Source organism: Homo sapiens, chromosome 5, assembly GCF_000001405.40.
Source record: "Homo sapiens chromosome 5, GRCh38.p14 Primary Assembly".
NCBI lineage: Eukaryota > Metazoa > Chordata > Mammalia > Primates > Hominidae > Homo > Homo sapiens.
Window position 1 is genome coordinate 146,886,608 of NC_000005.10, and position 15,777 is coordinate 146,902,384.

General features: G+C 38.9%; 1 protein-coding gene across 6 annotated transcripts in view; it reads right to left on the minus strand.

Moving 5' to 3' along the window:
• Positions 1 to 15,777, minus strand: part of PPP2R2B (protein phosphatase 2 regulatory subunit Bbeta) — a 500,779-nt gene that overhangs the window by 305,866 nt on the left and 179,136 nt on the right. The gene's annotated exons all lie outside the window — the stretch shown is intronic.

Below are 15,777 nucleotides of genomic sequence, written 5' to 3' on the forward strand. Positions count from 1 at the left end.
GTGACAAAGATAGATGTTCATGATGTTCAAAAAATCATAAACCAGAATAAGCCAACTGCTACAATTTTTTGGTTAAAAAATGTGCATATGCTAAAAGGAATATATCAAAATATTAGCAATGGTTATGCGTAGTTTTCTTTTGTGTTCATGTTTTCGTTAAAATATTTTAGAACATGCATCATTTTAGATTTTTTAGATTATCATTTTAAACTTTTTTAGTAAAAAAAAAAAATAAGTATTTTTAATGCCATGAAATACTTTATAGGATGAAACTTGTATAGAAAAGATTAAACCATTTTCTTCCCACCAGGAAGTCAAGAGACACATAAAACAATTCTGGTCACATATAAAAACATATATGTGACCAGAATGTATAGAACGGCTCTGTGCAATAGAAATATAATGCAAACCACATTTGTAATTGTAAATTTTCTAATTTCCACATTAAAAAGTGAGGAAAAAAAGATGAAATTCATTTTAATATATTTATATTTGAATTTTTTGAAGATAAAATTATCTTATTTAATCTGTCAAAATATAATTTCAACATATAATCAATAAAGAATTACTAATGACATATCTAAATTCTTTTCTTATATCAAATCTTTGAAATCTGGTGTTTTACACTAAAAGACCTCTCAAATCTAGCTACATTTCTAGGGGCTGGTAACCATGGTTACCATATTGGACAGCAGAGGTACAATGGAACTGTTTCAAAATTTTTATTCCATTTGCAAAAAGAGTTTTAATGTGTTCTTTAAGAAATAAATTTTTACCTACTAGAAACTTGAATGTAATGCTAAAACCAAACCAAATAACATTAATCTGATAAGCCTCAAAACTATTTAAAGTTATACAAACTGAAGACGAAAATATATACAGACATACCTATATATATATATTATGCAGAATAGTAATTTTGAATCCAATCTGCATTTTCCCCTAAAACTAGTAAGCTGAATAAATAAATTACAAAAAGACCAGGATTCTAATAGTAAGATGATACCATATAACAAACTCAGACAAGAAAGATGTGATATATAATTCCATCACTGTTATAGTTACCATCCTAATAGGTCAACCATTTAGTTCAACATGTATACCTTCAATTCCAGCTAAGAGAAGAAGCCAAATAGCCAGATGTCACTGCCAAAAGGGCACTTTCATATCTGGGCATCTGGACACTATTATAACCAATGAAGGTGGAGAAATTTAAAGGTACAGTTTGTAGGCATCTAGTAGAGAACCATTAGTAGTCTTTTAGATTGTACTGGAGAGTAGAATGTTGTGGTCACATGATCAGTGGATTAATTTCTGAGGACTTATTGAATTAGGTATTCCATTGTCTTTAACTCATACATGCAAACAGTTTGTTTTGTATGCAATTGAGTACTCTCTCCTTCCTAATACAGTTTTTTCACTGATTCCTGGGCATTGCTCTCTCTTTATTCTCCTACTGCCTCAGTGTACACTCCTCAGGCTCACTTGGTAGCTCCTCACTGCTGTGACCTCTAAATGTATAACTACCCTAGAGTTCAAAGTTCAAAGTCCACAGTCCCACAGCTCACCACTCACATAACAACAAAACCCTAAATCTGAACTTTGAGCATAAACCTCTCCCCAGACCTCCAGAGCAATATCACCAGCAGCCAAGCTGATATTTCACAGGGTATAAGGCATCTCAATCCCTAATTCTGCCCCACAATACCCTGCCCCACCCTCCTGTTCCTTCATTCCACTCTCTCATTCCCATCTTTTCAATCCTGCCTGCTCTAACTTTGAAATATGTCCAGAATCAACCACTACTCACCATCTCCACTGCTGCTACCATGCTCCAACTATCATCCTATCTCACCATGATTATATCAATAGATTCGAACCAGTCTCTGATCCTCCTTCACCCCCAACCCCTACAGAGTAGTTTCCAGGCAGCAGGCAGAATGGTCCTTTTAAATGCAAATCACTTCATGTCACTTTTCCGCTCAAAGGCTTTTATTGGCTTCCTACACATTCAGACTAAAACTTTCTTAAAATGCTGGAAAGATTTAGCTCCAGCTATAGCTCTTTTTTTTAACTTATCAAATGCAGCACCACCAAATTTCACCTCCCCTCCCACCACCACCACTCCCTATAGACATGGAAGGAAGACAGGACAGGAAGACAGGAGAACACTCCCACTCCAAGACCTTTGCATCTTATGTTCCCTCTCTTTCAGACACCAGCATAGCTCAGTGCTTTACTTCTTCTGGTGTCTGTTCCAGTATCAACTTCACTGGGATACCTTCCTTGACTACTCTGTATAAAATAAATTAGCACCTCCATCTCTGCCCGTCACTCTCTATCCCTATATTGCAACTAGACTGTATATATTTATTTGGTTTTGGTTATTACAGCAGTAGAACATAATTTCCAGGGAGAGAGAAACGATTTTGTTCTCTGCTTTATATGCAGTACCTGGAACAGTGCCTGGCACTACTAGTTATGCTAATATATCTTTTAAAAGAATAAAAGAGTGAATATGTGTTTGCTCAATAATAAGGATGAATCACAAGGGAAAATTAATGAACAACAAACCTAGGATGCTTATGTAGTAAAGGGTTTACCCTTGCCTGAAGAGAGGCCTGGGTTTTGCCCTAGGCTTCTTGGAGGTAATCTGTATCATATATGACAGCAATGTCTTTGTTTAGGGTGAGGACTGGCTCCAGTGGAACTTAGGGTGGGGATGGCAATACCAGATGACCATGTGACTTAGGGTGGAAGCTTTGGGTCACATGGTTATCAGGTGACCTGAACACTAAGTTCAATCTTGTATATAATCAGTCAATCCATCATGTCTACATAATTGAGCTCTAATAAAAACTCTAAATACGAGGTTCAGATAAGTTTCTTTGGTTGACAATACTTTATGCATATTGTCACATGGCAGGAGGTTAATGGCAGGGGGGTAATGCATGAGGTCAATGGCAGGAGGGTAATGCATCCAACAATTGAAACGTTGCAATTGGAACTCTCCCAGGCTTTGCCTTATGCATCTCTTTCTTTGGTTTATTTTAATCTGTAACCTTTCCGTATAAGTCATAACCTTGAGTATAATCACTTTCAGTGAGTTCTGTGAGTTCTTCTAGTGAATTATCAAAACTGAGAATAATTTTAGAAACCCTCTGAATTTGTAATTGTTGTCAGAAGTTAGGGCAGTTTTCGGGATTCCACCCTCAAACTTAGCAGTTGTCTAACTCCAGGCAATGCTAATCATACATCTGGCAAAGTTATAGCTAAAAAATGGGCTTAGAGAGCATTAGGTCTAGCCCGTCATTTTGCTGATGATGAAAGCCTAGAGAAAAGATGCGACTTGCCCAGGTTACCTGGTAATTTGGTGACAGACGAGCATGAGACCTGGTGTCCTGAATCCCATGATCACATCCGCACACACACAATGGCTCTTCTTAACTTTTGTTTTGCGTCATATGCACCACTTTTTCTTAAGAAGGTTAATAAAAATTTATTGGACAATTAAGTTGGCTTAACTCTCCAGTATGTTAAGGTCAGTGTCAAGGGGAGAAATTACTACTGTCTTTCAAAACTCACCAGGGCCAGCCCTGGACAAAATTGTAAAGTAACACAGTTCCTCTTTTCTCCCTTGCCTCTGCTTTTAAGCCCTGTGATGGGCCAGGGAAGTGCTGCAGGAGGAGCTGTATCAGTCCTCCTGAGCCACGGCTGTAGAGGTCAGGTTGGAAGCCTTTATGCTCAGTTCTATTATCTTTAACCAGTTCTATTATCCTTCACCTACACCATCATGGTTTGCCACACTCTCTTTCTTTGGAGGAAATCTGAAAAGTATAGGCAGCTTTAGAAGCTTTGGGAAACAGCACGTGGTAAACTTAGTTCATCATGTGGGAAACATGTTGACAAATTCAAGGCATTATGCAAAAAAGGTTGTCAATCTGGCCATTACTGTACTAGTGTGATAAGTTACAGAAGCCAGAATTCAAGAGTTAGATGGACCTTGAACTTGTAAGCAAGGTTGTATATATTTTAAAACTCAATAAATATTTAAGGAATAAATATAGAGTAAAAATAATAATATTAAACATCCCACAAATAGAGACCTTTGCAATTTCCATTTGGTATCTGACAGCCCTACAAGGACTGAACAAAGGATGAAAACCCAAGTTTATAAATTTACAATTGAAAAGTAGCATAGGCCCTGAGCCATGACTTTAACATTTTAGGATCATAGATCCTTTTGAGAATTTAATGATTTCTCTCCCCAGGAAAACAGCAACAGCAACATAGTTTAGAGCACTTCCTGCTTCCAAATGCTGACTCATTATGTCTATTTCACAGATAGGAAGAAAAAGAGAGAGAGAGAAAAAAATAAGGCCTGGGTCCAAAGAAAGGTACACAGTTGAGTGCAAGTTTAGAATTACAGTGCTATCATGTCCCCAGCAAATTTTTTCGTAGAGAATAAAAGTGGCTGTCACAGATACAGCACTTAACTGGTAATGATATAAGGCCAGATGTGAGTCTCCTTTCTATGATGGGTCAGTAAAGTGTAATAGGCAAATGGTTAAAGGCATGATTTTTGAGAACCAGGCTACTTGAGGTCAAATCTTTACTGTGGGCAAGTTTCTTAATCATGTTGTGTTCTAATCTCATTTGTGAAACAAAGATTATAATAGGATCCACTTGTAGAGTAGTTGTAAAAATGGAATGAAATGCCTAAAGCAATGCATGGCACATAATCCACACCCAATAAATGTTTGCTCTTGGTATTAGGTGTTGGATACTGTCATTTTTGTGAACACTGTCATTGTCTACATGGATGCTAGATTTATTCACTTGTGTAGTCTTCACCCTTGAATTATGTTAGCAGATTTGCTCTTTTTAATTTTTTTTAAGTTAACTCAAAGACATGGTTTCATTATAAAGGAGTATGAAACTCATGTCAGTGGGCTTCTAATGGAGGTATATTCATTCAACATCAAATTTTTATTACCTGCCTACTATGTGCTTAGCACTAGGCTTTCTAGTTGCTTGTAAGGAGATTATGACTTGATTGCAAAGATAACTGTTAGTAATTTATGTGCGAATAAGAGACCAACCAAGTGTGAACTAACCACAATGTAAAAATGTAGAGGCATCTAGTGGAATGAGAATAGCTTTGACAGATAAAATAGATGATCAGAATACCTAACCTAGGCCTTGAAGCAAGACTGGCTACATAATTTGTGGGGCCCAAATCAAAAAAAGGGGGCATCTTTTGTTCTTAAAGTATTTGGAATTTTAAGACAGCAACAACAGAGCATTAAACCAAGCACAGGACCCTTCTAAGAGTGGGTCTTAAGACACTACACATCACATGCTCTGCCTTGAAGGATGGGAAGACTCATGGAGCGATTACCGTCATTAGCAGAGTGACACTTTCCAGACTGTCAGTCATGCCATTCACATGCCTCTGTGTCCTTTCTTGTACTTTTTCTCTGAAGCAAAATGTTTTTACTTACTTTTTCAACCTATGCAAACCCTACCTATCCTTCAAATCCCAGCTTGAGTCTGAGCTCAGAGGGAACACAATAGAATAAAAAGAGTCCCAGACTTAGAAGAGCAAAGGTCAATTCTGCATTCCATCAGCTCTAGAACTATGAGCAAATTCTCTTAACTTTTCTCATAGTGGGTTTGCACACATGCCACACAGGGGGATCAAAAGGCATCAGAAATGTAAAATAGCGTTGAAATAATAATTCCTCATATTGACAAAGAGCTTTACAATTTCCTGTAAACCCTTCCCTAGCTTCTGCAGGCTACAAATAGCTCTTGCTAAGTGTCCAGTGCCTGATTAAAATATACATGCACACATGCACGTGAGCACCTCTCTGTCCCTCCCACCACCTCTCTCTGCTTAGCATATATGATTTTTCTTATTATCTCATGTAACTTCTTAAGATCATCAGGCCTTCAGTCTTTACCCCTTCCAAGCCACGCTCCTCACTAAGTCAGTATGATCTTTCTAACTTATGGTTCCTCACTGCCTAGTGTAAAGTTTCCTAAATCCAATGGCACAGAATCAGTGTCTTTTGAGGCATTTGTTAATCAGTGTTCTGGGAAAAGAGGTGCAGTTTGAAAAAAAGCGTCATGCTATAGCCCTCTGTTGTAGGTTTCCAATGCACATGTAAAACTTCTGAGAAATCCTGCAATAAAAAAGTTAATTTAACTTTGTTCAAATCAGAATTTTTCATATTAATTTGTGCATATTTACATTTTATACAATACCTAAGTTCTGCAGAAACATTTTGTCAAATGCTGGCCTGCACTCAGGCATTCTGCTTGTTTTATAGAACCTCTAGGATCTATTGCTACCCTAGGTTTCTAGTTCATTTTCTGTCACCCCTTTCACAAACCCTATGCGCAGAAACAGTGGGCCATTTTCAGTTTCTTGAAGAACTCTGAGCTCTGCACCTGTTGTGCTCTCTGCCAAGAATGTCTTTCCTGTCACTCATCCATCCATTTATTCCCTCGTGATGTGTTTCTCTTCACTGAAGACCCAGCTCACTTGCTCTGTAAAGACATCTCTGACATTTTCAGTAACTACTGTCTCCTACTTCCAGTGGTTAACACCTCTAAAGAACTTCATATACAAAAATGATTCCTGAGCATTAATGAATGCTTTCTTTGTGTCAGTTATGTAGCTTTTATTTTGATGTAGACAACCATCTAAGATGATTAAAATAAGGTCTACTTTACAGATTAATAAATGCATGGATTAAGAAACCCACTTCTTTTTCTGCCTTTTGAGTGGTGCCCACCATCGACCTAGCTGCCCCATTCCAGAAACACAGAAGACATTTTGAAAATCTTCCTCTACCCTACATCCAGTCAGGTGTCATGTCCTATAAATCCCAGATTCCTAAACAACCTTAAAACCTGTCCATAGGCCAGGTGCTGTGGCTCACACCTGTAATCCCAGCACTTTGGGAGGCTCAGGTGGGCGGATCATTTGAGGTCAGGAGACCGGCCTGGCCAATACGGTGAAAACCCGTCTCTACTAAAAATACAAAATGAGAACACATGGACACAGGGAGGGCAACATCACATACCAGAGGCTGTCAGTGGGTGGGAGGAAAGGTGGGGAGAGCATTAGGACAAATACCTAATGCATGCGGGGCTTAAAACTTAGAAGACAGGTTGATAGGTGCAGCAAACCGCCATGGCACAAGTATACTTATTTAACAAACCTGCACATTCAGCACATGTATCCCAGAACTTAAAGTAAAATTGAAAAAAAAAAAAAAAAAGCCGGGCATGGTGATGGGTACCTCTAATTCCAGCTACTCGGGAGGCTGAGGCATGAGAATTGCTTGAACCCAGGAGGCGGAGATTGCAGTTAGCCAAGATTGCGCTGCTACACTCCAGCCTGGGCAATAGAGTGAGACTCAGTCTCAAAACAACAACAATAACAACAACAATCTGTCCATATCTATCCATTTACGCTGCTACTAAGTTAGCCTGGATCAGTATCATCTCTTGGCTGTGTTCCTGCGGTAGCTTCTGGGCAAATATTCCACCTCCATGTTACCACAAGTACAATCATTTCCTAAAGTGCAGATCTGATCATGCCAATTGCCCTGCTTAAAGTTCTTGAGTGCCTTCCCATAACTCTTAGGAAAGGAATCCAAGGCCCTTAATACAATGTAACAGATCTTTAAGGATTAGCTACTCTCTGCTTTTCACCTATATTTTGTTATTAATTAGGATCTCATAGTCTACACAGGAAGGCTTGCAGAGCCTATTGTGATTTATAGGCCTTGCCAAACATTCTTTTGCCTCTGGACTTTATTTTTATTTTTATTTTTGAGACAAGGTCTTGCTCTCTCACCTAGGCTGGAGTGCAGTGGCACAATCATGGCTCACTGAAGCCTTGACCTCATAGGTTCAAGAAATCCTCCCACCTCAGCCTCCTGAGTAGCTGGGACCACAGGCGTGCGCCACCACACCCAGCTAATTTTTGTGTTTTTAGTAGAAACGGGGTCTTCCCATGTTGCCCAGGCTGGTCTTAAACTCCAGGGCTCAAGTGATCCACCTGCCTCGATCTCCCAAAATTCTGGTATTACAGGCATGAGCCACCACACCTAGCCTGCCTCTGGACCTTTGTACACACTTTTTCTACTTCTTGAAATTCTCTTCATTCTCCTCCTCACTCTGCTAATTCATGAGCTTCCTAAATGTAGGTCAAGGATAGTGCTCTTCCTCTAGGGCGCATAGCATCTTGACATCTTTTTCTCTCCTGTAAGCTCTTTGGGGCCAGGGCTATACCTTAATCATGATCTTATCTGTACCTAATATGGTGCCGGCCCTAGAACTGGCATGGAATAGTCATTTGTTGAATGCCTGAATGAATCAAATAATGAATAAATGAGTAAATGAAAGCAAAACTAAAAGGACAGCTTGGGGTATTACAAGAGAAGGAATTTAGAGCTTCCTTTCACACATCCTCCTGCCTTTGTCCTCTATGTCAAAATACATTGTCCTCCTTTCAACTCCCCGAAAGCTCCATGTATGCTCCACCTGAAAAGCCTTTGCATCTCCAGAGTGTTTCTTCTTCATTCACCCACAGTTAATATCTCTTTATCCTTCACATTTCAGATTAGTCATCTTTTCAAGAGGAAAGAATTCTTGCTGATGCAGACAAGTCGGCCCCCTGCCATACTGCTCTCATAGCACCAAGTGTCTCCTTCATTACTTTCACCACAGTGTAGCTCTACATCTATGTCTATGAATGTTTATTTAGCAAAAGTTTCCTCCAATACTCAGTAAGCTCATGAAAGAATCATGTCTGTTTTTTATTCACTATTGGATTCCCAGTGCCTAAGTACTGACACACAAAAGTTTGTTAAACTGATTCATGAATTAAAAACAGTAGTTTTTAATCTCATCAGCAGTTTTTTGTTTGTTTCATCACCGTGTACATGCATAGTAGGGTTCAGTAGGTAAGGGCTGTTTGTTAAATGAGAGACTATAACTGATTTCTTTCCCCAGTTTATAAACAGTTGTTAACTAGTAATGGTTGAGATAAAAAATTTTGTTCCTACAAATTTAGTAATATTTGCATATTTTCATACTATTTTGTAATATGTTTATGGCTTCTCTTGAAATAAATGTCAAAAGAATTCCATCTGCCTAGCTCCTGGACTCCACCTCATTAGGAAAATAAAGAACCACAAAGTCCATCTCCACCACAGGAAAGGACAATAGCTCTAATTCATAAATTCCATAATGTGTACATAATTGGAAGACATCAAAATATGTCCTGTCACAGACCAGTCCGTGATTCTTCAATAAGAAATTATGAAAATCGCAAAACAAACTGTCCAAAGGGGTCATTACTGTTTGACAATTCATCGGGCTAAATAATATTGTCTGAGTGGTCGCCTGGCTCTGTTTGACCTTAAACGAAGGCAGAGGAACTGAGAAATACATTAAAGAAAGGCTATGGTCAGGCTTTTGGAGTTACACAAACTTTGATATGTCTGGGAAGAAGTGCTTTTTTACCCCCATAATTTTAAGAACAGGGTAGGCAATGACATTTTAAAGCCTGTTTACCTCATAATCAAATCATCCACAATTTGATAGGTGCTTACCAAGTACCAGGTATTATGCATGTCTTTATGCTCACATTAACTCTATCTCTCACCATCACCCTGAAGGAGGTATTATTAACTATCATTGAGGCAACTGAGACTCAGAGACCTGAACTATCTTAGAGAAAGTAGAACATGACTGATGTGGGGCTCAAACCCACTGTTACTTGACTCTACTCAATAATGATTCCACTTACATTTCTCTATGCAAATTTCTGTTCCAGCCTTCCACTCAGTAAGTACATACTAAGTATTTATCAAAAAGAATCAAAGTGCCATAATTCCCATAATCATTTGAAAAGAACACCTAAACAGTCACCAGGATGATTTTTCTCTCAAAGAAGCTATTCAGTTTGAAATGCCCTGTGGTGGTGAGATCTTACAAAATGATAAATAAACCCGTAGACATTTTGTTGTTTAATTTTTTAAGCCCATTTCTTTCTTCCTTTTTTTTTTCGGTGATTCACTTTCCTGTTATTCAGAACATTACACACCTACACACATCAAATAAAACTGAATATTCCAAGATTTAAAGGCGTTAGTGGGGGTTGTCAATACATGAAAGCAGAGAAGCTGTTTAGTATAATTGGGGAAAAGTGGAGGCTCAGACTGTCAAAAAAAGATGGCTTTTGTACTTTAAAACTAAAGTTCCAGGATATAGAAGTGGACCAGCTAAGAAATGCTGGCTTAGCCTCTTAAGAAGGTAATGATCCTCCTTGATTTAGAACAAGCAGAAAAAGAAAATTAAGGTCAATGATGAACTGAGCATATATTTGTCATCTCCTTTTCCCAAGATCTCTTTAAAATGATAGTAAAGAAGCAAAGCAGATACAGCCCCAGAACAATGAAAAGAATATAAAGAGGGTCATTAAGTGAACGATGCATTTCATGTGTTTCTGAGAGAAGACAGGTAAGTGGAGGAATGATGACAGATTGAGGGCACAGCCAAGGAGGGCCCCCATCTATCTTGCAAAAACCTAGAGAGAGTTAGGATTTAGAAATGCCAAAGATGATGTGGGATGAAGGGTGAAAAATGGAGCGGGTGTGAAAAGGGATTTACCTGCCCCCCGTTCCCACTGTTTAACTCTTCTCATCACACCCTGGGTGGATACAATAAAAAGTTCTTCCTTTTGAAAGAAAACTAAAATGGTCTGGGGTGGACTAAGGTCACAAGTGTGGGAGTTGGGTCTTCAGAGCAAAGTGCTCTGCATTTTGGAATTAGGGACTACAAAATACAAGATAATCTCTGTGCCTACTCACTGTATAATGAAACCCACCAGTTGGTAAGTCCTATTCATATTCATTTGACAGTTCTACTGATTCATTCTCACATATGACTTGGCAATGGAAGATCATCTACTCAATTGAGTGAAACCTACACTGTGAGGGGAAAAAAGAACAAGATAAACAAATATAAAAACATATACTGGAGACAACAGGGATACTTTTAGGGCCAGAAATAAATAAATAAATCCTAATTTGTATGTGCAGAAACATTTAAAAGGAGAATAAACCTACAATTCAAGAACCGGATGCTATACAAAGAAGGAAAACATAGAGAATAAGAAAAAAAAAACATGGAATTAAAAAATATGGCAAATTTATTTTTAAATTATTAGAAGGTTAAAATATACTGGTCAAGGAAATCTCTTAAAAAGTAGGAAAGGCCAGGCGCAGTGGCTCACGCCTGTAATCCCAGCACTTTGGGAGGCCGAGGCAGGTGGATCACCTGAGGAGTTTGAGACCAGCCTGGCCAGCATGGCAAAACCCCGTGTCTACTAAAAGTACAAAAATTAGCCGGGTGTGGTGGCAGGAGCCTGTAATCCCAGATACTCAGGAGGCTGAGGCAGGAGAGTCTCTTGAACCAGGGAAGCGGAGGTTGCAGTGAACTGAGATTGCATCACTGCATTCCAGCCTGGGCGACAAGAGTGAGACTCCATCTCAAAAAAACAAACAAACAAAAAAAGTAAAGATCAGATAGTTGTAGATATGCAGCATTATTTCTGAGGGCTCTGTTCTGTTCCATTGATCTATATCTCTGTTTTGGTACCAGTACCATGCTGTTTTGGTTACTGTAGCCTTGCAGTATAGTTTGAAGTTTGACAAACCTGAGAAAAACAAGCAATGGGGAAAGGATACCCTATTTAATAAATGGTGCTGGGAAAACGGGCTAGTCACATGTAGAAAGCTGAAACTGGATCCCTTCCTTACACCTTATACAAAAATTAATTCAAGATGGATTAAAGACTTGAACATTAGACCTAAAACCATAAAAACCCTAGAAGAAAACCTAGGCATTACCATTCAGGACATAGGCATGGGCAAGGACTTCATGTCTGAAACACCAAAAGCAATGGCAACAAAAGCCAAAATTGACAAATGGGATCTAATTAAACTAAAGAGCTTCTGCACAGCAAAAGAAACTACCATCAGAGTGAACAGGCAACCTACAAAATGGGAGAAAATTTTCCCAACCTACTCATCTGACAAAGGGCTAATATCCAGAATCTACAATGAACTCCAACAAATTTACAAGAAAAAAACAAACAACCCCATCAAAAAGTGGGCGAAGGACATGAACAGACACTTCTCAAAAGAAGACATTTATGCAGCCAAAAAACACATGAAGAAATGCTCACCATCACTGGCCATCAGAGAAATGCAAATCAAAACCACAATGAGATACCATCTCACACCAGTTAGAATGGCAATCTTTAAAAAGTCAGGAAACAACAGGTGCTGGAGAGGATGTGGAGAAATAGGAACATTTTACACTGTTGGTGGGACTGTAAACTAGTTCAACCATTGTGGAAGTCAGTAGGGCGATTCCTCAGGGATCTAGAACTAGAAATACCATTTGACCCAGCCATCCCATTACTGGGTATATACCCAAAGGACTATAAATCATGCTGCTATAAAGACACATGCACACGTATGTTTATTGCAGCACTATTCACAATAGCAAAGACTTGGAACCAACCCAAGTGTCCAAGAATGATAGACTGGATTAAGAAAATGTGGCACATATACACCATGGAATACTATGCAGCCATAAAAAATGATGAGTTCATGTCCTTTGTAGGGATGTGGATGAAATTGGAAATCATCATTCTCAGTAAACTATCGCAAGAACAAAAAACCAAACACCGCATATTCTCACTCATAGGTGGGAATTGAACAATGAGATCACATGGACACAGGAAGGGGAACATCACACTCTGGGGACTGTTGTGGGGTGGGGGGAGGGGTGAGGGATAGCTTTAGGAGATATACCTAATGCTAAATGATGAGTTAATGGGTGCAGCACACCAGCATGGAACATGTATACATATGTAACTAACCTGCACATTGTGCACATGTACCCTAAAACTTAAAGTATAATAATAATAAATAAAAAAGTAGGAGAAAAAGATAAAGCCAAAATATCAGAGATATACAAATTAGGAAATTATTCTATGAAGACTAATATCCAATTAATAGAAGTATCAGGAAGAATTAGGAAATCAAAAATAAGGAAATTATTAAAGAAATACTTGAAGAGCTATTTCCCAATTGAATAACAGGAGTGTTCGAGATTAAAAGGAGCCCTTTGTATACCCATATTGGTTATTTTAAAAGATATATAACTACATAATCATTGTGAACACTAAGGATACAAAGAAGATCCTAAAAGTTTCCTGGAGGAAAACACAGGCCATATCTATGTTAGTAACTATCAGATTGTCACTGGAAAATTTCTTCAACATTGGTCCCTAAAAAACAATGAAATGACAGCTTCAAAGTTCCATGAAAGAACAACTCAAACAAGATTTCTATACTCAACCTACCAACTGACTGAATGGCTGGGGCTGGGGAACCGGAAATTTATTGAGCCATGCCCTTCCTTTGCTAGATGCTTTATTGTGATTATTAACACTCCTTTAAAGGAAGTATTATTTTTGCCATGCACAGACAAGATCCACTAATAGGTCGACCCAAGGAATAAGTGTCAAAAATAAGTGCCACAGTCAGAAAACATACCTGAGCCAATCTGCTATTCTTCTTCCAGAGTATATCACTGGGCCTTTGAACACACAAAGACAGGCCAGCTCATAGGGAAAAGAAGATACAATGTAGAAACAGGGAGAACCATCCACTCCTGGGACTTTGAGGCAAGGTTAGACTGTTGCCATATGTAAAGGAACATTATGTCATTGTTGCTACCTTGGCAAATTTCAAAGGTTATTGTTCCAGCTTCCCTTCCTTTTCTTTCCTTTCTCCTTTCCTTTCTCCCTTTCTTTCTCCTTTCCTTTCCTTTCTTTTTCCTTCCTTTCTTCCTTCCTTCCTTCCTTCCTTCCTTCCTTCCTTCCTTCTTTCCTTCTTTTCTTTCTTTTCTTTCTCTCTTAAATTTTATTTTAAGCTCCGGGCTACAGGATGTGTGCAGGATGTGCAGGTTTGTTACTTAGGTAAATGTGTGTCACGGTGATTTGCTGTGCCCATCAACCCATTACCTAGGTATTAAGCCGGGCATGCATTAGCTATTTTTCCTAATGCCCCCCTCTCCCCGTGCCCCATCCCCATGCACTGGACACCCCCCAGTGTGTTATTGTTCCCCTCCCTGTGTTTATGCGTTCATTTCATTCAGCTCCCACTTAAAAGTGTTTAATTTTCTGTTCCTGCATTAGTTTGCTGAGGATGATGGCTTCCAGCTCCATCCATCCCCCTGCAAAGGACATGATCTCATTCCTTTTTATGGCTGCATAGTATTCCATGGTATATATGTACCACATTTTCTTTATCCAGTCTGTCATTGATGGGCATTTGGGTTCATTCCATGTCTTTGCTATTGTGAATAGCAGCTATATTTTCTTATGTAAACATAGCTAAAGATATTTTACAAATTGAGGCACACCCAGTTTTGAAGTTGAATATGACCAAGAAGCTTCCATTACAGATAGTTAACTTATTGGTGCTAACATAAAATATCTGTACAAATAAATTCAAACAGTGGCTCACTCCTGTAATCCCAGCACTTTGGGAGGCTGATGTGGGAGGATCCCTTGAGCCCAGGAGTTCAAGACCAGCTTGGGTAACATAGTGAGACCCAGGCTCCACAAAAAATTAAAAAGAAAAATTAGCCAGGTGTTGTGACATGCACCTATCATCCCAGCTACTTGGGGGACTGAGGTGGGATGATTGCTTAGGAGGTCAAGGCTTCAGTGAGCTGTGTGATCGTGTCACTGCACTCCAGCCTGGGTGACAGAGTGAGACCCTGCCTCAAACAAACAAACAAAAACCAAAATACAAACTCCCCTACATTTCCAATGCTATTTCAACCTATCTGTTGAATCTCATTCATAAGCTCATGAAACAAATATTCATTATACCTGAGGTCCTAGATGCTGTGTCAACAACACAAATTCCCTATCCTCATGAAGCTTTCAGTCTAGGAAGATAATGAAGAGAATTTGGTGAAAGAGAAGAATGCAAGCAGGAGGAGGAAGATTTACTTGGTTAGAGTGGTCAGGAAAATACTTTCCATTGAGGTAACAATTCAGTCGATTCAAATAATCCAGTTATGTAATGGTCGGTGTGATGAGTGGTTGCATTAGAAGGAAATGGAATAGTAGTGCAAACACCTCAAGATGGGAAAATGCTTGGAGCGTTCAGGAACTGAAACTGTGCCAAAGTAAGTGAGAGAGGATGGCCAAAGATGAAATTGAAAAGGTAATTAGAGCCATAATTCACGGGGCCTGTAGGCTATTGTAAGAAATTAGAAGACAATTCAAAGTGTGATGAAAAAATCTCTGAAGAGCTGAAAGCACAGCAAGGACATGAACTGATGTATGGTTGCATGTTTGACTTACCTAAAGACCTCACCATGTGCACACTCCACTGGCATCTCAGAATCAACAAACACAGACATCATCTTCCTTGCCCCCAAAGTCACCATTTCTTTCTATTCCTCTCCTCTCCCCATTCCTTTTCCAAATATTTATTGAAAATCAACTCTGTCAAAATACTTCCTGAGTCCCTATAGTAGTCAAACAGCAAAATATTGTCATCTCAGCATTGTTTTATTTCCTCACCCACACACCCACACAACTACATCCTATGAACTGTTCTGCAAAATGTCTCTCAAACTCTGCCTAGTTCAAGCTTT